Below are 21,361 nucleotides of genomic sequence, written 5' to 3'. Positions count from 1 at the left end.
GCTGTGGCTAATAATGCCTGTAATCCCAGCACTTTGGAAGGCCAAGGCGGGAGGATCACCTGAGGTCAGGAGTTCAAGACCAGCCTGGCCAATGTGGTGAAACCCCATCTCTATTAAAAATACAAAAATTAGCTGGGCGTGGTGGCATGTGCCTGTAATCCCAGCTACTAGGGAGGCTGAGGTAGGAGAATCACTTGAACCTGGGAGGCAGAGGTTGCAGTGAGCCGAGTTTGTGCTATTGTACTCTAGCCTGGACAACAGAGTGAAACTCGGTCTCAAAAAAAAAAAAATAAAAGTACTGACATGTGCTATAATGTAGATGAACACTAAAGAGATCATGGTAAGTGATAGAAGTTAGATGCAAAACATCACATATTATTCCATTTATATGAAAAGTCCAGAATAGGCAAATCCATAGAAATGAGTGGTTAAGTGGAGCTGGGAGTTTGGGGAAAAACGGGTGTGGCTGATTAGTGGTACAGGGTCCCTTGTAGGGGTGATGAAAATGTTCTAAAATTAGGCCGGGCACTGTCGCTCACACCTGTAGTCCCAGCACTTTGAGGGGCTGAGGTGGGAGGATTGCTTGAGCCCAGGAGTCGAGACCAGTCTGGGCAACATAGTGAGACTCTGTCTCAAATAAATACTAAAAATAGAAGAAAACATTCTAAAATTGATTGTGGGGGATGGTTGCATAACTCTGAATATACTAAAAGTCACTGAATTGTATATTGAACCCATCACCCAGGTAGTGAGCATAGAACCCAATAGGTAGTAGGTAGTTTTTCTTTTTTCTTCTGTCTTGCCTTTTTTTTTTTTTTTGAGATGGAGTTTTGCTCTTGTTGCCCAGGTTGGAGTGCAATGGTGTGATCTTGGCTCACTGCAGTCTCTGCTTCCCCTCAGCTTCCCAAGTAGCTGGGAATACAGGTGCGCACCACCCCACCCGGCTATTTTTTTGTATTTTCAGTACAGACAGGGTTTCGCCATCTTGGCCAGGCTGGTCTCAAACTCCTGGCCTCAGATGATGCACCCGCCTTGGCCTCCCAAAGTATTGGGATTACAGGTGTGAGCCATCGCGCCTGGCCCCAGTAGGTAGTTTTTCAACCCCTGTCCCTCTCTCTCTGTCCTCCTCGTATTCTTCAGGGTGTGTTGTTCCGCATCTTTATTTCTATATGCTTCTGATGTTTAGCTTGCACTTATAAATGAGAACATGTGGTATCTGGTTTTCTATATCTGTGTTAGTTCGTTTAGGATGATGGCCTCCAGCTCCATCCATGGTGCTGCAGAGGACATGATTTTGTTCTTTTTTTATAGCTGTGTAGTATTCTGTGGTATATGTTAACCACATTTAAAAAATCCAATCTGGGGCCGGGCACGGTGGCTCATGCCTGTAATCCTAGCACTTTGGGGGGCCAAGGCGGGTGGATCACTTGAGGTCAGCAGTTTGAGACCAGCCTGGCTAACATAGTGAAACCCCGTCTCTACTAAAAATACAAAAATTAGCTGGGCATGGTGGTGCATGCCTGTAATCCTAGCTACTCGAGAGGCTGAGGCAGGAGAATTGATTGAACCCAGGGAGGTGGAGGTTGCAGTGCGCCGAGATCGTGCCATTGCACTCCAGCCTGGGCGACAAGAGCGAGACTCCATCTAAAAAAAAATTAAATAAATAAATAAATAAATACAATCCGTTGTTGATGGGCCCTTGAGTTGATTCTATGTCTTTGCTGTTGTCAGTAGTGCTGCAGTGAACATATGGGTGCAGGTATCCTTTTGGTGTAACAATATATTTTCTTTTGGATGTGTACATAGTAATGGGATTGCTGGGTTGAATGGTAGTTCTATTTTTGGTTCCTTGACAAATCTCAAACTCCTTTCCACAGGGGCTGAACTACTTTACATTCCCACCAACAGTATGTAAGTGTTCCTTTTCTCCATAGCCCTGTCAACATCTATTATTTTTTGGCTTTCTAATAAAAGCCATTCTGACTGATGTGAGAAGGTTATCTCATTGTGGTTTTGATTTGCATTTCTCTGATGATTAGTGATGTCAAGCATTTTTTCACGTTCGTTGGCTGCTTGTATGTCTTTTGAAAAGTGTCTGTTTATGTCCTTTGCCCACTTTTTAATAGAGTTGTGTATTAGAGTTCTCTAGAGGGACAGAACTAATAGGAGATATATATATGTGTGTGTGTTTTTATATATATACGTGTATATATATGCGTATATATGTATATATGTGTATATATGCGTATATATGTATATATGTGTATACGTATAGATATACGTATATATACACACATACGTATATACGCTATATATGTGCACACATACGTATAGATATACGTGTATATATACACACATATGTATAGATATACGTGTATATATACACATGTATGTATAGATATACATATATACACACATACATATAGATATACGTATATCTATACACACATAATTATATATATGTATCCCTATACATGTACATATGTATAGATATACATATATCTATAAATGTACATATGTATATACTTATATCTATACATGTACATATGTATAGATATATGTGTGTGTATATATATGCGTGTATATGTAGATACATGTGTATCTATATATATGGGAGTTTGTTAAGGAGTATTAACTCGTGTGATCACAAGGTCCCACAATAGGCTGTCTGCAAGCTGAGGAGCAAGGAAGCCAGTGTGAGTCCCAAAGCTGAAGAACTTGGAGTCCAATGTTTGAGGACAGGAAGCATCCAGCAAGGGAGAAAGATGTAGGCTGGGAGGCTAGGCCAGTCTAGTGTTTTCATGTATTTCTGGTTGCTTTATGTTGTAGCTGTACTGGCAGCTGATTAGATGGTGCCCACTCAGATTGAGGGTGGGTCTGCCTCTCCCAGTCCACTGACTCAAATGTTAATCTCCTTTGGCAACACCCTCACAGACACGCCCAGGATCAGTACTTTGCATCCTTCAACCCAATCAAGTTGACACTCAGTATTAACCATCAGAGGTTGTTTGGTTTTTGCTTCTTGATTTCAGTTCCTTATAGATTTTGGATATTGGATCTTTGTTGGATGCATAGCTTGTGGATACTTTCTCCCATTCTGCAGGCTGTTTGTTTACTCTGGTAGTTTTTCTTGCTGTGCAGAAGCACTTTCGTGTCCTTAGGTCCCACTTGTCAATTTTTGTTTTGTTGCAATTGCTTTGGAGGACTTAGCCAAAAATTATTTGCCAAGGCCAATGTCAAGAAGGGTATTCCCTAGATTTTCTTCTAGGATTTCTATAGTTTTCAGGTGTTACATTTAAGTCTTTAATCTATCTTGAGTTGATTTTTGTATATGGTGATAGGGGTCCAGTTTCATTCTTCTGCATATGGATAGCCAGTTATCTTAGTACCATTTATTGACCAATAAGTGGGAGTCCTTTCCCCTTTCCTGTTCTTTGAGACAAGGTCTTGTTCTGTCTCCAAGGCTGTAGTGCAGTGGCACGACCATTGCTCACTACAGCCTCAACCTCCCTGGCTCAGGTGATCCTCCTGCCTCAGCCTCTCTAGTAGCTGGAACTGCAGGTGCCCGCCACCACACTCAACTAATTTTTTGAATTTTATTTGTGGAGGCGGGGTCTTTCCATGTTGCCTAGGTTGGTCTCAAACTCCTGGGCTCAGGCAATTCTCCTGCCTCTGCCTCCCAAGGTTCTGGGATTATAGATGTAAACCACCATCCCCAGCCTCCATTGCTTATTTTTGTCAACTTTGTTGAAGATCAGATGGTTATAGGTGTGTGGCTTTATTTCTGGGTTATCTATTTTGTTCCATTGGTCTATATGTTTTGAATTGCACACTTTAAATGGGTGAATTGTGTGATACACAACATACAGTTGACATATATATGTGGTATAAATATAATATATACATGTATATAATATGTAAACCATATGTATGCATATGAGTGGTTAACGAGCTGGCAGTTTCTGTAAACTCTGAGATATATGTATTGTATGACATCATACAATACATATATCTCAGAGTTTGCAGAAAAGAAGATTAACTTAGGCTGAGCACACCTGTAATCTCAGCACTCTGGGAGGCTGAGGCAGGTAGATTGCTTGAGCTCAGGAGTTCAAGACAAGCCTGGGCAAAAAAGTGAGACACTGTCTCTACAAAACAATACAAAATTTAGCCAGGTGTGGTGGTGCGCACCTATAGTCCCAGCTACTCGGGAGGCTGAGGTGGGAGGATGGTGTGAGCCCAGGAGCTGGAGGTTGCAGTGAGCCGAGATTGTACCACTGCACTCCAGCCAGATGGAGTGAAGCCCAGTCTCAAAAACAAAAACAAAAAAAACCCGGTGGTAAGCTACTTTTAAAATTTTAATATGATGCATCTCTATACTTGCTTCAGCTTCCTAAATAATTGCATTTCAAGCCGGGCATGGTGGCTCACGCCTGTAATCTCAGCACTTTGGGAGGCCGAGGCTGAAGGATCACCTGAGCTGAGGAGTTCAAAACCAGGCTGGCAAACATGGTGAAACCCTGTCTATACTAAAAATAAAAAATTAGCCAGGCATGGTGGGCGCCTGTAGTCCCAGCTACTTGGGAGGCTGAGGCAGGAGAATCGCTTGAACCCAGGAGGCAGAGGTTGCAGTGAGCCGAGATCGCACCACTGCACTCCAGCCTGGGCGACAGAGTGAGACTCTGTCTCAGAAAATAAATAAAATAATTGCATTTCAGAAGAAAGTGGTCATCTATCCCAGCTCTAGACCAATGGCAGATACACAGGAGACATTCATGTCTTTGGTCTCCACTCTCAGATCTTGTGCCTCAAGCAGCCATTGAGTATGGCAGGATCCTGACCCGCCTCACCCACCACCCCGTCTACATCCTGAAAGGGGGCTATGAGCGCTTCTCAGGCACGTACCACTTTCTCCGGACCCAGAAGATCATCTGGATGCCTCAGGTAGGGCCAAATGCTGAGCACAGGCAGGCCCAGACGGGAAGGATGGGCCTAGAAACTGACTTGTGGGTGACTGAGTGGGAGAAACAGGAGGATGGGACAGAGGATATAGAGAAAGTGGAGGAGATTCTGTCTATACTAAAAACACAAAAATTAGCTGGGCGTGGTGGTGCGTGCCCATAGTCGTAGCTACTAGGGAAGCTGAGGCAGAAGAATTGCTTGAACCCAGGAGGCAGAGGTTGCAGTGAGCCAAGATCATGCCACTGTACTCCAGCCTGGATGACAGAGTAAGACTGTCTCAAACAAAAACAAAAACAAAAACAAACAAAAAAAAAACTAGATCTGGACTCCTGGCAGCCCTAAGTTCATGTCTGCAGCCCAGTCTCCCCCATCTCCTCCACTTTTTTTTTTTTTTTTTTGAGACGGAGTCTCGCTCTGTCGCCCAGGCTGGAGTGCAGTGGTGCCATCTTGGCTCACTGCAAGCTCTGCCTCCCAGGTTCACGCCATTCTCCTGCCTCGGCCTCCCAAGTAGGTGGGACTACAGGCGCCCACCAGCACGCCCGGCTAATTTTTTGTATTTTTAGTAGAGACAGGGTTTCACCCTGTTAGCCAGGATGGTCTCGATCTCCTGACCTCAAGTGATCCACCTGCCTCGGCTTTCCAAAGTGCTGGGATCACAGGCGTGAGCCATCCTGCCCGGCCACAGTTCTTTATAAGGAACTGATGGCTGTCGGGTTGAAACAGTGAGCAAAGGTGGACCCATTCAGAGGGCAGGCTGGATGGTGGACCGATACCAAGGTCAGAAAGGCAGGGGCATGGCGGCTCGAGACCACCTCTTTTTTCTTGGCTGTCTGATTCCACAAATCCTAGCTGGATCCAGAGGATACAAAAATACACAAAAGTGGGAAGGATTGGTCAGGCACGGTGGCTCACGCCTATAAGCCTAGCACTTGGGGAGGCCAAGGCAGGAGGATTGCTTTAGCTCAGTACTTTGAGACCGGCCTGAGCAATATAGTGAGACCTTGTCTCTACAAAAAAATCAATAAATGGAGCTGGCTGTGGTGGCTCACGCCTATAATCCCAGCACTTTTGGAGGCCAAGCTGGATGGATCACTTGAGCTCAGGAGTTTGAGCCCAGCCTAAGCAACATGGCAAAACCCTGACTACCAAAAATACAGAAATTCACCGGGCATAGTGGCCCACCTGTCTTGTAGTCCCAGTTACTCAGGAGGGTGAGGCAGGAGAATTACTTGAACCCAGGAGGAGGAGGTTGCAGGGAGCCGAGATCACACCACTGCACTCCAGCCTGTGTGACAGAGTGAGACCCTGGCTCAAAAAAATAATTTAGAAAAGAGATGGGTGGATTGCTTGAGCCCAGGAGGTCGAGGCTGCAGTGAGCCGTTGCCATGCCACTGTACTCCAGCCTGGTTGACGAAGCAAGACCCTGTCTCCAAAAAAAACAAAAAGAAAATCAGCCAGGTGTGGCGACTCACACCTGTAGTTTTAGCACTCTGGGAGGCCAAGGCAGGAGGATTGCTTGATCTCAGGAGTTCAAGACCAGCCTGGGCAGTATAGTGAGACCCCCATCTCTATTATAATTCTTTTTTAGTAGAGACAGGGTTTCACCATGTTGGTCAGGCTGGTCTCCAGCTCCTGACCTCAAGTGATCCACCTGCCTCAGCCTCCCAAAGTGCTGGGATTAGAGGCGTGAGCCACTGCACTCAGCCTATTTTTTAATACAAAAAGAGAATCAGATATTAAACCCCTTTGTCCATCACCTAGCTCCAAACATTGTCAACTCATGGTCAGTTTTGTCAAAACAAAACAATTTTGAGATTCCAGTTTCTGCTGATGACTGGTCCTGTCTGTAGGGGAGGCAGTGGCTGGAAGCTGGACTGTGTCAAGGGACGCCCCGGGTATCTGGAGCCCAGAGAAGGGGCACTTGAGCTTCCCAGAGCCAAATCTGACGGAGGAGGAGATTTCGAGGAAGAGAACTGGGTGGAGTTGTCTAAGGCTAGCACCAGACTATGCAGAGATTTGCAGGCAGGGCCTGGTCCCTGGAGAGTGCCGTGTACAGATGTCTGGCTTATTGAAGCGTCTGAACACAATGGAATGTAAACAGAAAGTGGTTTTAACTTTTTCTAACAGTTGCCTTCAGCTGTGTTCCCCTTCCTGCCCTTAGCAACATCGTGAGCAGATTCCATACTTTCTGGCCACTTTTGGTTACAAAAAACTTCAATCGAAATCATAGTATAGAATGACTGGGCAAATGTGACTATTCACAGGATGTTTGACTGTGTTTAGGAATTGTTGCTTTTCGAAGGTTGTAGTGACATTGTTATGGTTATTATAAAGTACAAGTCCTTATCTTTTAGAAATACAGAACAAAATATTTACGGGTGAAATGACGTGATGTCTGGAATTTCCTTTCAAATAATCTGGGGTGAGGTGAGAAGGCAGTGAGGGTATAGAGGAAACAAAATTGGCCAATGAGTTGTTAATGTTTGAAGTTGGGCGATATATACGTTTTAGAGACAGGGTCTCACTCTGTTGCCCAGGCTGGAGTGCAGTGGTGCAATCATAGCTCACTGCAGCCTCCACCTCCTGGGCTTGGTATCCTCCAGCCTCAGCCTCTTGAGTAGGTGGGACTACAGATGCATGCCACCACAGTCAGCTAAGTTTTAAAATTTTTTGCAGATACAGGGTCTTGCTATGTTCCCCAGGCTGGTCCAAAACTCCTGACCTTAAGCAATCCTCCTGCCTTGGCCTCTCAAAGTACTGGAATTATAGGCATGAACCACCACACCTGGCCAACTAGTGTATAGTTTTGAAATAATGTTAAAGGAAGTAAAAAGACAGTCTAGTAGAAGCTAGGGCGGTTTAATGTTCCAACCTCAAATCTGAATCAAGTCTCATCTCTTCCCATGCCCTAGAGCTGGGCAGCCTAGGGTTTGCTGGGGGCACTCAAAGTAGGGAGGGATGGGGGTTAGCTTTAAGGACAGCTGCTCTCTTCCCCTCTTCTGGGCAGAGTACCTTTGGCAGTAGGGCCCAGAGTGGACCTGTCTGTGTGCCTGGCTGCGTGTTAGTGGTGGGAAAGTGCCTGCTCTCTGGCCCCGTCTGGCTGTGTGAGCTGCTGGTAGCCTCTGCTGCTGGGTTTCTCGGGACCCAGCTCAGCCTCACCCTGGCTCCTTCTGGGGCTGAGGATCTCCCAGAGAACGCAGCCAGTGGTGACTCCCTTCAACCCCTGCCAGGCATCTCCTCCAACTTCCTCCCCTTAACTTGGAAGCCCATGACCCGTCCCCTGCCCCGCATGCCCACATTCCTTCACCGGAATCGTAGAAGGCAGGGACTCATGCCTGAGGTCAGACATGTTCCCAGATCCAGGGTATGCATGCCTGGCTCCCAAAGACATCCCTTTCTTCCACTGAGATAACAGCACTGTGAATTTCAGCTCAACAGGTGTACAGTCAGTTAAATAAAGGAAGTAAAGACAATCAGTCTAGTATAAGCCAGGGCAGTTTAATGTTCCAGCCTCAAATCTGAATCAAGTCTTATCTTGATTGGAACTCCTCCTTGCTCCTCCTTGCTCTTGGAGGAGCACCCTGGCTTTGCAGGGTGCAGAGAGATTAATTTCTTCTCTGCAAACCCTACGCTGCTGATAACTCATCACTGCCACCTCCTCATTTCTGAAGCTTTAGTAAGGTGTAATTGACATGATGAACTGCACATATTTAAAAGGCCCGGTATGGTCCGTTTTGACAGTTGCATATTCCTGAAACTTGCCTTTGCTCCTAGTCTAGTCACATTGGGAAGAAGGCGCAGGGTTGTGGCTAGGGTAGCTGTGAGGGTTGGATTGGGTTACTTGTTTGCAGCTGTCTTTAGAATGTAGGTGACTGGCCAGCTGTGGTGGCTTAAGCTTGGAATCCTAGCACTTTGGGAGGTCAAAGAGGAGGTGGAAGGATCACTTGAGTCCAGGAGTTTGAGACTAGCCTGGGCAACATAGTAAGACCTTGTTTACACAAAAATTTTTTTAAAAGGCTGGGCTTGGAGGCTCACGCCTGTAATCCCAGCATTTTGGGAGGCCAAGGCGGGCGGATCACGAGGTCAAGAGATCAAGACCATTCTGGCCAACATGGTGAAACCCCATCTCTACTAAAAATACAAAAATTAGCTGGGTGTGGTGGCACATGCCTGTAATCCCAGTTACTCAGGAGGCTGAGGCAGGAAAATCAATTGAACCCGGGAGGCGGAGGTTGCAGTGAGCTGAGTCACACCACTGCACTCCAGCCTGGGTGACAGAGTGAGACTCCATCTCAAAAAAGAAAAAAGAAGAAAGAAAGATTTAGGAGGTAGCACCGATCAGACATGAGGGCATAGGAGAGAGAGGGGGCTGGGATGATGCCCTGGTTTTAGGCGTGGGTGACGGGGGCTGTGATGTGGTTCATTCTGGGGAACACTCGGGAGGGGGCGGGGTGGGGGAAGAAGGAGGTGGTTTTGGGGGAAGGCAGTGTGCCCAGTTCGGGCATATTCATTTGAGATACTGGTTTCGTTTGCATTGTGTCACTGAGCATTTACACACATTCTACAGTACAGTGTGTTTTTATCCACATCACACCCTCTTCCCAGCCAAACCCACACAACCGCAGAAAAGGAAGCTGGTTTAAAAACAGCAGGAAGAGGGGTTGATAGATTTGCTATGGGATTTTTGTGGGGTTTTTTTTGTTTTGTTTTGTTTTGGTTTTTTTTTGAGATAGCATCTCTGTTGCCCAGGCTGGAGTACAGTGGTACAATCTGGGCTTACTGCAACCTCCACCTCCTGGGTTCAAGTGATTCTCCTGCCTCAGCCTCCAGAGTAGCTGAGATTACAGGCGTGTGCCACCACGCCTAATTTTTATATTTTTAGTAGAGATGGGGTTTCACTATGTTGGCCAGGCTGGTCTTGAACTCCTGACCTCAGGTGATCCACCTGCCTCAGCTTCCCAAAGTGCTGGGATTACAAGCATCAGCCACCATGCCTGGCCTTTTAGCGAGATTTTTAAGTGGAAATTGAAAGGGGGATTTCATTTGGCACCAGCAAGCTGAGCGTCCATCCGGGTTAGGGGCAGCCCACATGCTGGAGTAAATTGGGCCTGCCCGCAGGCAGTGGGGGGTCATGCATCTCCGTGTCACAGGCTGGAGAACTGGCTCAGCTTGGTGTCTGTTCTTTACTAATGGCTTTCGAAGCTGGTAGCTTGGGAAGGATGTGGGCTTGCAGAGGGTTCACTGCCGTGGGGAAGGGAGTGAGATGTGCTGAGTTCAGGTGGCTCTGAAGGACCCACACGCCTGAGGTCCTTAAAATGTTATTTCTGAGTCAGACTTAGAGCCAGGGGACTTTTGGAACTGATTTTGATCTTTGGCAAAGGTCAGCATTTTCTGTGGTGTAATAATGGAGAAAGTGGTCTCTAATCAGAGCCTCATGGAAACATCAAGTTATCCAGTTGGAGTGGATTTCTCTACTGCAGAGCTTCTTTGAGATTTTTTTTTTTTTTTTTTTTTTTTTTTTTTTGAGATGGAGTTTTGCTCTTGTTGCCCGGGCTGGAGTGCAATGGCACAATCTTGGCTCACTGCAGGCTCCACCTCCTGGGTTCAAGTGATTCTCCTGCCCCAGCCTCCCGAGTAGCTGGGATTACAGGCGTGCACTGTCACACCTGGCTAATTTTTGTATTTTTAGTAGAGACAGGGTTTCACCATGTTGGTCAGGCTGGTCTCAAACTCCTGACCTCAAGTGATCCACCCACCTCAGCCTCCCAAAGTGCTGGGATTATAAGCATGAGGCACTGTGCCCGGCTATTTTTTTTTTTTTTTTTTTGAGAGACAGGCTGGAGTGCAGTGATGCGGTCATAACTCTCTGTAACCTCAAACTCCTGTGGGATCCTCCCACTTCAGCCTCCTGAGTAGCCGGGAGTACAGCCATGTGCCACCATGCCTGGCGAATTTTTTATTTTTTGTAGAGACAAGGGTCTTGCTGTGTTACCCAGGCTGGTCTTGAACTCCTGGGTTCAAGCGATCCTCCCACCTTGGCCTCCCAAAGTGCTGATATCACAGGCATGAGCAGCCACTGTGCCCAACTTCTTTGAACCTTTGATTGCTAATGTACGTGTTGTTTCCGAGAGAGGAATCATAGATACAGCTGTCCGTTTGTACAGTTGTCCAGTATCCATGGAGGTTGGTTCCAGGGCCCCCAATAGATACCAAATCCTTGGATCTTCAACTCCCTGATACAAGATGGTGTAGTATTTGCGTCTAACCTAAGCGTATCGTCTCGTATACTTTATTTATTTGAGACAGAGTCTCACTCTGTTGCCAGGCTGGGGTGCAGTGGCATGATCTCATCTCACTGCAACCTCCACGTCCCAGGATCAAGTGATTCTCCTGCCTCAGCCTCCCGAGTAGCTGGGACTACAGGCATGCACCATCATGCCTGGCTAATTTTTGTGTTTTTCGTGGAGATGGGGTTTCACTCGTTGGCCAGGTTGGTCTCAAGCTCCTCACCTCAGGTGATGCGCCTGCCTCGGCCTCCCAAAGTGATGGGGTTACAGATGTGAGCCACCTCACCTGGCCCCTCTTGTGTATACTTTAAATCATCTCTAGATTATTTATAATACCTAATACAATGTACATGCTATGTAAATAATTGTTATACTGTATCGTTTAGGGAATAATGACAAGAAAAAAAGTCTGTACATGTTCTGTACAGATGCAACCATGAATTATTTTTCTGGATATTTTTCATCCAAGGTTGCTTGAATATATGGATGTGGAACACACAGATTGCATTTGGTTATCTGAACCCCTGAACCCTTTTCTCATAGTGCCTTATGGGGGACTAGTGTTTCTTAGAACACACTTTGGGAAATGTAGAGATAATCCTTGTCTGTGTTTCAAATAAACGAAAGTTTTTTGTTGTTGTTGTTGTTGTTTTGTTTTTTTTTTTTTTTTTTTGAGACGGAGTCTCATTCTGTCGCCCAGGCTGGAGTGCAGTGGCACAATCTCAGCTCACTGCAAGCTCCGCCTCCCAGGTTCATGCCATTCTCCTGCCTCAGCCTCCCAAGTAGCTGGGATTACAGGTGCCCGCCACCATGCCCGGCTAATTTTTTGTATTTTTTAGAAGAGACGAGGTTTCACCGTGTTAGCCAGGATGGTCTCGATCTCCTGACCTCGTGATCCGCCCACCTCAGCCTCCCAAAGTGCTGGGATTACAGGCTTGAGCCACTGCGCCCGGCAAACGAAAGTTTTAATGATAACTTTGGACCTGGAACTCAGGAAGCTCCCATTTAAGTAGGTGTCTTGTTCTCTCTACCCCTCTGCACATACACTGGCTTCATTTCTGGGCATGCAGGGTGGCTCACATGTGTATCCCAACACTTTGGGAGGCTGAGGCAGGAGGATCACTACAGGCCAGGAGTTCGAGGACAGCTTGGGCAACATAGTGAGACCCCATCTCTACAAAAGATAAAAGTATCAAAATTAGCTGAGTATGGTCATGCGCACCTGTAGTCCCAGCTACCTGGGAGGCTGAGGTAGGAGAAGCATTTGAGCCCAGGAAGATAAGACTGCAGCGAGCTATGATTGAGCCACTTGCACTCCAGCCTGGGTGACAGAGTGAGAGACCCTGTATCTTTAAAAAAAGAAAAGAAAAGAAAAAGATGGGTTGAGCACAGTGGCTCACGCCTGTAATCCTAGCACTTTGGGCAGCCGAGGCAGGTGGATTACTTGAGGTCAGGAGTTCAAGACCAGCCTGGCCAACATGATGAAACCTCCTCTCTCCTCCTCCACCTCCTCCCTCCTCCTCCTCCTCCTCCTCTCTCCTCCTCCTCCTCCTCTCTCCTCCTCTCTCTTCCTCCTCTCTCCTCCTCTCTCTTCCTCCTCCTCTCTCTTCCTCCTCCTCCTCCTTCTCTCTCTCTCTCGATGCTTAAATTCTGGTGGTCTTAAGAGAGCTGTCCCTCTCCATCCTCCTGAGCCCCCAGTACATGCTGGGTTGTTACAGTTCTGGGCCACAGCGTCCTCACTGCAACCTTTGTGCACCTGGCCAAGTGTAAACAGTTGCCACGGAGGGAATGGACACCAGTGCTGAGACCCAGCGCTCTGCACGATGAGGCTCAGTCCTTTCGTCATGACTCGCCCTGTGCCACCCCATGCAAGTTACCGTGTGCCAATCTCTTTCAAAGTCTGGATCTCCGTCACATTCACTGTCCTGGAACTGCCCTTTTACGCTCGTTTGCTGAGCTGTGTTTCAAGAGATAGACATCCCTCTTCCCTGAGGAATATGCTCATAGCTGCCTTTCTCCCTCCACACTTCAGGAACTGGATGCATTTCAGCCATACCCCATTGAAATCGTGCCAGGGAAGGTCTTCGTTGGCAATTTCAGTCAAGCCTGTGACCCCAAGATTCAGAAGGACTTGAAAATCAAAGCCCATGTCAATGTCTCCATGGATACAGGGCCCTTGTAAGTAAAGAGAAACTACTGATTTATATTTCATTTTATTTTTTATATAATATTTAAATTTATTTTATTTATTTTTTTTAATTTTATTATTATTACACTTTACGTTTTAGGGTACATGTGCACAATGGGCAGGTTTGTTACATATGTATACATGTGCCATGTTGGTGTGCTGCACCCATTAACTCGTCATTTAGCATTAGGTATATCTCCTAATGCTATCCCTTCCCTTTAGTTTTTATTTTATTATTATTATTTTTTGAGACGGAGTCTCACTCTGTCACCCAGACTGGAGTGCAGTGGCACAATCTCGGCTCACTGCAAGCTCCGCCTCCTGGGTTCACGCCATTCTCCTGCCTCAGCCTCCCCAGTAGCTGGGACTACAGGCGCCCGCCACCACGCCCAGCTAGTTTTTTGTATTTTTAGTAGAGATGGGGTTTCACCGTGTTAGCCAGGATGGTCTCGATCACCTGACCTTGTGATCATCCCGCCTTGGCCTCCCAAAGTGCTGGGATTACAGGCATGAGCCACCGCGCCTGGCCTATTTTATTATTTTTTGAGATGGGGTCTTGCTCTGTCACCCAGGCTGGAGTGCAGTGGCACAATCTTGGCTCACTGCAACCTCCGCCTCCAGGGTTAAGTGATTCTCCTGCCTCAGCCTCCCCAGTAGCTGGGACTAAAGGTGTGTGCCATCATACCCGGCTAATTTTTGTAGTTTTTAGTAGAGACAGGGTTTCAAAATGTTGCCTGGGCTGGTCTCGAACTCCTGACCTCAAGTGATCTGCCTGCCTTGGCCTCCCAAAGTGCTGGGTTTACAGGTGTGAGCCACCATGCTTGGCCAAGATAGGTACTTAAAAAAATTTTTTTGGCTGGGTGTGGTGGCTCACACCTGTAATCCCAGCACTTTGAGAGGCCAAGGCGGGTACATAAGCTGAGGTTGGGAGTTTGATGACCAGCCTGGCCAAAATGGTGAAACCCCATCTCTACTAAAAATATAAACATTAGCCGGTTGTGGTGGCACATGCCTGTAATCCCAGCTACTTGGGAGGCTGAAGCAGGAGAATCGCTTGAACCTGGGAGGTAGAGGTTGCAGTGAGCCGAGATCGTGCCACTGCACTCCAGCCTGGGCAACAGAGCGGGAATCTGTCTCAAACAAACAAAAAAAAAGACAAGGGTCTCGCTATGTGATCCTCCCATCTCTGTTTCCCAAATTACTGGGCTTATTCATGAGCCACCACACCCAGCCTGGATGTTTTTTTCCAGGAGAGGTTGAGTTACCTGTGCACATTCCCCCTTACACAAGCTCAGCGTCCTCCCTGTGGCCCTTCTGCTGTGATGAAAACCCCACAATGGGGATGCCTGCATTCTGCATTCCACCTGATGACCTGTGTGGTCCTTCCGTGTAGTTTTGCAGGCGATGCTGACAAGCTTCTGCACATCCGGATAGAAGATTCCCCGGAAGCCCAGATTCTTCCCTTCTTACGCCACATGTGTCACTTCATTGGTAAGGAGCGTTCCTTGGCCGGGTAGCAACTGGCCTGTGTCTGGGAAGCAGAGGGGCAGTGGAGCCTCCTTCACAGGCTTATTCTGGACCGTGATTTCCCCATGCTCTAGAGAGAAAGGGCCCAGCTCGGCATATGCTCCATCTGGGTGGGACAAGCTCCAGGACACGTCCAACTTCTGGGGAGCCCTCAGTGAAACGAGCAACCGTGGTGTTTACCTCGGGGGCAGTGGGGCCCAAGGCTCTGGCCCTGGCTAGATGGCTGTGCCCTTCTGGGCTTGTTGTAAAATGAGAGTGATGGCTACCCACAAGTGCACATGCTCATGGAGGCTCTGGGCTGAGCTCTGGGGACCAGTAGTAAATCTATCTCTCTCCATCCCCGCCTTCATCCTTGGTCTGTGGGATGTCGGTGGAATGGAAGGAAGACTACAAAGCTCTTTCAGTTCTGACTTCCAAGATTTTCTTTGTTTTTGTTTGTTGGTTGGTTGGTGGAGTTGGGGTCTTGCTATGTTGCCTAGGCAGGTCTTGAACTCCTGGCCTCAAGCGATCTTCCTACCTCAGCCTCTCAAGGTGCTGGGATTATAGGCATGAGCCACCACACCCAAGTGATGCCCACCAGTTACTTAACTCATCAAGAGTGGATTTTTTACTCATTCCTGGGGCTCCAGATTGCCAGAGGAGAGTAAGATCTGTAGAGAGAGCAGGGCTGAGTCAGGTCAGAGTCCCCACCCCATGCCTGCCTGTCTGGCACCAACAGCTCCTGGCCTGAGCCACTGTACCAGGGGCTGGAGCATGGCATTTTGGCCCAACCATCCCTTATTTTAAATTTTATTTTTCGAGACGGGGTCTGGCTTGTTCACCCAGGCTGGAGTGTAGTGGCACAATCTTGGCTCACTGCAATCTCTACTTCCTGGGCTCAAGCAATCCTCCTACCTCAGCCTCCCAAGTAGCTGGGACTACAGGCATGCACCACCACGTCCAACTAATTTTTGCATTTTTAGTAAAGATGGGGTTTTGCCATGTTGCCCAAACTGGTCTTGAACTCCTGAGCTCAAGCAATCCACCCACCTCAGCCTCCCAAAGTACTGGGATTACAGGCGTGAGCCACCACACCCAGCCCCAACCATCCTTTATTTGCCCAGTAGATGTCAAATGTTGCTCAACCAGGGCCTGAGGCTGAGACTTCCCATGTGTCCCACCTCGAGATGGCAGAGCCTTGTGGCCCAAGGAGGGACCCCATCTAGCCTGCCTCCCTGGGTAGCACTGAGCCAGTCAATAAATTAAACTGCATGCTCAGTTCCTTTATTCAGATGGTGAGGAAGGTGGCCATCGTCATCTCTGCGTCCTTCTTCAGCCCTGGCAGTCTGTGATTTTGCACTTGGTAGGCTTATCTTCAGTTCCTGAGGGTTGCCAGACCAGCCTCGGGTGCCAGCTTAGATTTCCTCTCCCTGGGCAGGACTCACAGCTTCAGGGGTGCTGTGATTAGAGCTGATATTTCTGTGCCAGGCACTGGGCTCAGCACAGAACAAAACCAAACTGTATGAAGTAGGTAGTATACTGTGATCCCGTTTTCCAGATGAGGACACCGTGGCCTCAAGTAACTTACCCTCCAGCCCGGGCAACATTGTGAGACCCCATCTGTACAAAAAAGTTAGCTGGATATGGTGGCACATGCCTGTGGTCCCAGCTACTCAGAAGGCTAAGGCGGAGGGTTACTTGAGCCCAGGAGTTCAAGGTTGCAGTGAGCTGTGATTACACCACTGCGTTCCAGCCTGGGCAACAGAGCAAGACCCAGTCTCTAAAATAAAATAAATAAAAATAGGCTGGGCACAGTGGTTCTTACCTGTCATTCCAGTACTTTGAGAAGCCAAGGTGGGCAGATCACCCGAGGTCAGGAGTTCAAGACCAGCCTGAACAACATAGTGAGACTGCATGTCTATATTGAAAAAAAAAAAAAAAAAAAAAAAATCAGGCGCAGTGGCTCATGCCTATAATCCCAGCACTTTGGGAGGCCAAGGCAGGCAGATCACCTGAGGTCTGGAGTTGGAGACCAGCCTGGCCAACATGGTGAAACCCCATCTCTATTAAAAATACAAAAAATTAGCTGGGCGTGGTGGCAGGTGCTTGTAATCCCAGGTACTCGGGAGGTTAAGCCAGGAGAATCACTTGAACCCAGGAGGCAGAGGTTGCAGTGAACTGAGATTGTGCCACTGCACTCCAGCCTGGGCAACAAGAGTGAAACTCTGTCTCAACAAAGAAAGAAGGAAAGGAGAGAGAGGAGTAGAGAGGAGAAGAAAGGGGAAAGAAGAGAGGAGATGGGGGAAGGAAAGGAAAGGAAGTAACTTGCCCAAGCCCCACGGCCAGTGAGTGGCAGTCAGGATTGGCACTCAGGCTACACTGGCTCTGTCAGCTCCTGACTGTTTTTGGGATGACGATGGTCCTGTCCGCCCCATACTGGGAGGCCAGTTGGTAGCAGAGCTTCCTGGGCTAGAAACCTGGAGTTCAGGAGAAGGTCTTTGCCTGGTGATGCTGGTTGCCCAGGCATGATTCTCTGGAACTTCCAGCCAGGTCTGAGGGATGCCCACTTGCTAGACAATGAAATGGGCTCCCAGAGAAATCATGGGACTTGCCGAGGTCACGTGGGCTGGTTTTGAACTCATGCTTGGACCACGGGCCCATGGAGGCCAGTGTCTGACAGCAACCCAGGCCCACAGGGAGGAGGGCCAGGCATGACCCAACCCCCCACTTCTTTTTGCAGAAATTCACCATCACCTTGGCTCTGTCATTCTGATCTTTTCCACCCAAGGTATCAGCCGCAGTTGTGCCGCCATCATAGCCTACCTCATGCATAGTAACGAGCAGACCTTGCAGGTATGCGTTCCCCGGGCCAGGCTCGCACCACGGCCACCCCCTGGGAGGTGAGGTCAGAGCGCAACCTGGGAGGAGTGGGGCCCCAGCACTGCTTTGGGAGGAAGAATCCCAGATAACTCCAAGTCTAGGGTGCTCCCCAGTCCGCGTCACCCAAGGGCAAGGCCCCAGTGTTGCATGCTTGAGGCCTGAGGCTGGATATGCAGGGCTGGCCCAGGGACTCAGGCCAGGTCAGGCTGTCCTGCAGCCCCCACTGCTGTCAGGCCGTCCACCTGTGTTTGTTTGGTGTTGCCCAAGGGAGAACTGCTTGGAGTCCCAGAGCTGCAGCACAGGCGCCCACCCACTCCCGTCTATCTCCCTGTACCTTGGGCGCAGGGTCCAGAGAAGAGAGGGAAGCAGGGACCCATCGCAGCAAACCCAGGCGGAACTCGGAGCTCCTAACTCACAGCACCTTTCTCGAGGGCCTGCCCTGCCTGTCACAGCCTGTTCGTGATCCCCAGAGGGCTTGATAGGACCTACAAAGCCCCAACATTTGCCCAGGGATGTTTTTGGGGGAAGGAGAGGGACAAAGAATAAAACTCGTTGGCCAGTGGCTTCGGTTGTTGCCCCCATGTGCACTTTGGGGGTGAAGTTGTAGGCTAGAAAGTCCTTTTTTTTTTTTTTTTTTTTTTTTTGAGATGGAGTCTTGTTCTGTTGCCCAGGCTGGAGTGCAGTGGTGCAATCTCCACCTCCTGGGTTCAAGCGATTCTTGAACCTCCACTGCACCCTCTGCCTCCTGGGTTCAAGCGATTCTCCTGTCTCTGCCTCCCGCGTAGCTGGGATTACAGGTCCGTGTCACCATGCCCGGCTAATTTTTGTATTTTTAGTAGAGACAGGGTTTCACCATCTTGGCCAGGCGATGTGTGGGGTGGTGGTGGGGGATGGGTGGTTTACGATTCTTCCTCCAGGGCCTGTTCTGACCCAGCGAGGACATAGTAAGCCTTTTGACTGCACAGCTCTGCCCCTCACACCACTTTAAAAAAAATTGTGGTTAAAATATACATAACAGGCCGGGCGCGGTGGCTCACGCCTGTAATCCCAGCATTGTGGGAGGCCGAGGCGGGCAGATCACCTGAGGTCAGGAGTTCAAGACCAGCCTGGCCAACATAGTGAAACCCCCTCTACTAAAAATACAAAAATTAGCTGGGCGTGGTGGTGCGTGCCTGTAATCCCAGCTACTCTGGAGGCTGAGGCAGGAGAATCGCTAGAAGCTGGGAGGCAGAGGCAGCAGTGAGCTGAGATTGCACCATTGTACTCCAGCCTGGGTGACAAGAGCGAAACTCTGTCTCAAAAAAAAATATACACACACACACACACACACACACACACACACACACACACATACACACACACACACACACAACAAAAAAATTACCATCTTAACTATTTTAAAATGTATAGCTTAGGAGCATTAAGTACATTCACATTATTGTACAACTAATCTCCCAAACTTTTCCATCTTGCAAACCTGAAACAGCAACTCTTTACTTTCCCCTCTTCATCGCCCCGTGGGAACCACCATTCTACTTTTTGTCTCTGTGAATTTGACTACTCTAGGTACCTTATATAAGTTCCTTCCTTTTAAGGCTGAATAATATTCCATTATATGTGTGGAATTCACCAATAAACCCATCTAGGCTGGGTGCTTTCTGTTTTGGAAGGTTACTAATTATTGATTCAATTTATTATTGTTATTTTATTTATTTATTTTTTTTTGAGACGGAGTCTCGCTCTGTCACCCAGGCTGGAGTACAGTAGCACAATCTCGACTCACTGCAAGCTCTGCCTCCCGGGCTCATGCCATTCTTCTGCCTCAGCCTCCCGAGTAACTGGGACTACAGGCATCTGCCACCACTCAATTTCTTTAATATATGTAGGCCTATTCAGATTGTCTGTTTCTTCTTGTGTGAGTTTTGGCAGTCTGTGTCTTTCAAGGAATTGATCAATCACATTTGTGGATATGAATATTCTTCTATTATCCTTTTAATGTCTGTGGGATCTGTAGCAATGTCTTCTCTTTCACTTCTGTATTAGTAATTTGTGTCTTCTGTTTAAGTTAGCCTGGCTAGCGGTGTATCGATTTTATTGATCTTTTCAAAGAACCGGCTTTTGGTTTTTTTGATTTTCTCTATTGATTTCCTGTTTTCAATTTCATTCTTTGCATGGCGTATCTAGTTTTCCTAGCACCATTTGTTGAAATGACTGTCCTTTTCCCCCATCGAATGGTCTTGGCATACTATCAAAAATTCCTTGACAGGCCCGGTGCAGTGGCTCACACCTGTAATCCCAGCAGGTTGGGAGGCAGAGGTGGGCAGATCACCTGAGGTCAGGAGTTTGAGACCAGCCTGGCTGACATGGCAAAACCTCGTCTCTGCTAAAAATACAAAAATGAGCCAGGCGTGGTGGCACATGCCTGTAATCCCAGTTACTTGGGAGGCTGAGGCACAAGGATCACTTGAACCCAGGAGGCGGAGGTTGCAGTAAGCTGAGATTGCACAATTGCACTCCAGCCTGGGCAACAGAGTGAGACTCAGTCTCAAAAAAAAAAAAAATTGCTTGACCATATAGGTAAGGGTTTATTTCTAGGCTAGGCTGGCTATTCTATTCCACTAGTCTCTTTGTCTTCATGTCCATACCATACTGTTTTGATTACTGTAGTTTTGTTAGACTAAGGTTTGAAATCAGGAAGTGTGAGACCTACAACTTTGTTCTTCTTAAATATTTTTTATGGGGTCCTTTGAGATTCCATATGAATTTTAGGATGGATTTTTCTATTTCTACAAAAAATGTTGTTGGGATTTTGATAGGGATTGCCTTAAACCTGTGGATTACTTTGAGTTGTATTGGCATCTTAATAATATTAAGCTTTCCAACCCATGAACACAGGATGTCTTTTCATTTGTTTGTACCTTTAATTTCTTTCAGCACTGTTTTGGAGTTTTCAGTGTACAAGTCTTTTGCCTCCTTGGTTAAATATTTTATTCTTTTTGATGCTACTGTAAATGGAATTGTTTTCTTAATTTCCTTTTTGAATTGTTTAGTATATAGACATGCAACTAATTTTTGCATGTTGGTTTTGTATCCTGCATCCTTGCTGAATTTATTAGCTGTGTGTGTGTGTTGTGTGTGTGTGTAATCTTTAGGGTTTTCTACATATGAAATCATGTCATCTTCAAACCAGAGGTAAGGTTACTTCTTCCTATCCATTGTAGATGCCTTTTATTTCTTTTTCTTGCCTCATTGTTCTGGCTAGGACTTCTAGGACTATGTTGAACAGAAGTGATGAAAGCAAGCACCCTTGCCTTGTTCCCGATCTTAGAGGAAAAACTTTATCTTTCGCCATTGAGTGTGATGTTAGCTGTGGGCTTCTCATATATGGCCTTTATCAGGTTGACATCACTTCCTTCCTTTTTTGTTTTTGAGACAGAGTCTTGCTCTGTCACCCAGGCTGGAGTGCAGTGGTGCAATCTCGGCTCACTGCAACCTCCGCCTCCCAGGTTCAAGCAATTTTCCTGCCTCAGCCACCCAA

General features: G+C 47.5%; 1 protein-coding gene across 14 annotated transcripts in view, besides 2 other annotated features; it reads left to right on the top strand.

Annotated features, from left to right (window-relative positions):
• Window positions 1-21,361, top strand: part of STYXL1 (serine/threonine/tyrosine interacting like 1) — a 51,664-nt gene that overhangs the window by 29,315 nt on the left and 988 nt on the right. For 8 of the 14 annotated variants that reach the window (XM_011516293.4, XM_047420466.1, XM_047420468.1 and 5 more), the window contains 4 exons: window positions 4,799-4,944; window positions 13,282-13,427; window positions 14,831-14,928; window positions 17,684-17,796. In XM_011516293.4, coding sequence (XP_011514595.1) covers window positions 4,799-4,944; window positions 13,282-13,427; window positions 14,831-14,928; window positions 17,684-17,796 — 503 coding nt within the window. The remainder of the gene's footprint in view (window positions 1-4,798; window positions 4,945-13,281; window positions 13,428-14,830; window positions 14,929-17,683; window positions 17,797-21,361) is intronic. The other 6 variants (XM_047420470.1, NM_001317789.1, NM_001317787.2 and 3 more) reach the window with 4 other exon arrangements.
• Window positions 10,021-10,200: an enhancer, noted in NCBI's record as "active region_26188". NCBI's record gives its function as "activates an Ori minimal core promoter by ATAC-STARR-seq in GM12878 lymphoblastoid cells {active_cell/tissue: GM12878}" and the evidence as "EXISTENCE:reporter gene assay evidence [ECO:0000049][PMID:35858748]".
• Window positions 17,381-17,881: an enhancer, noted in NCBI's record as "H3K4me1 hESC enhancer chr7:75630123-75630623 (GRCh37/hg19 assembly coordinates)". NCBI's record gives its function as "activates a minimal SCP1, AML or CMV promoter by ChIP-STARR-seq in primed H9 embryonic stem cells {active_cell/tissue: H9 hESC(primed)}" and the evidence as "EXISTENCE:reporter gene assay evidence [ECO:0000049][PMID:30033119]".

Source organism: Homo sapiens, chromosome 7 (assembly GCF_000001405.40).
Source record: "Homo sapiens chromosome 7, GRCh38.p14 Primary Assembly".
NCBI lineage: Eukaryota > Metazoa > Chordata > Mammalia > Primates > Hominidae > Homo > Homo sapiens.
Note: the sequence above shows the minus strand (reverse complement) of the source record. Positions and strands in the feature narration are given on the sequence as shown.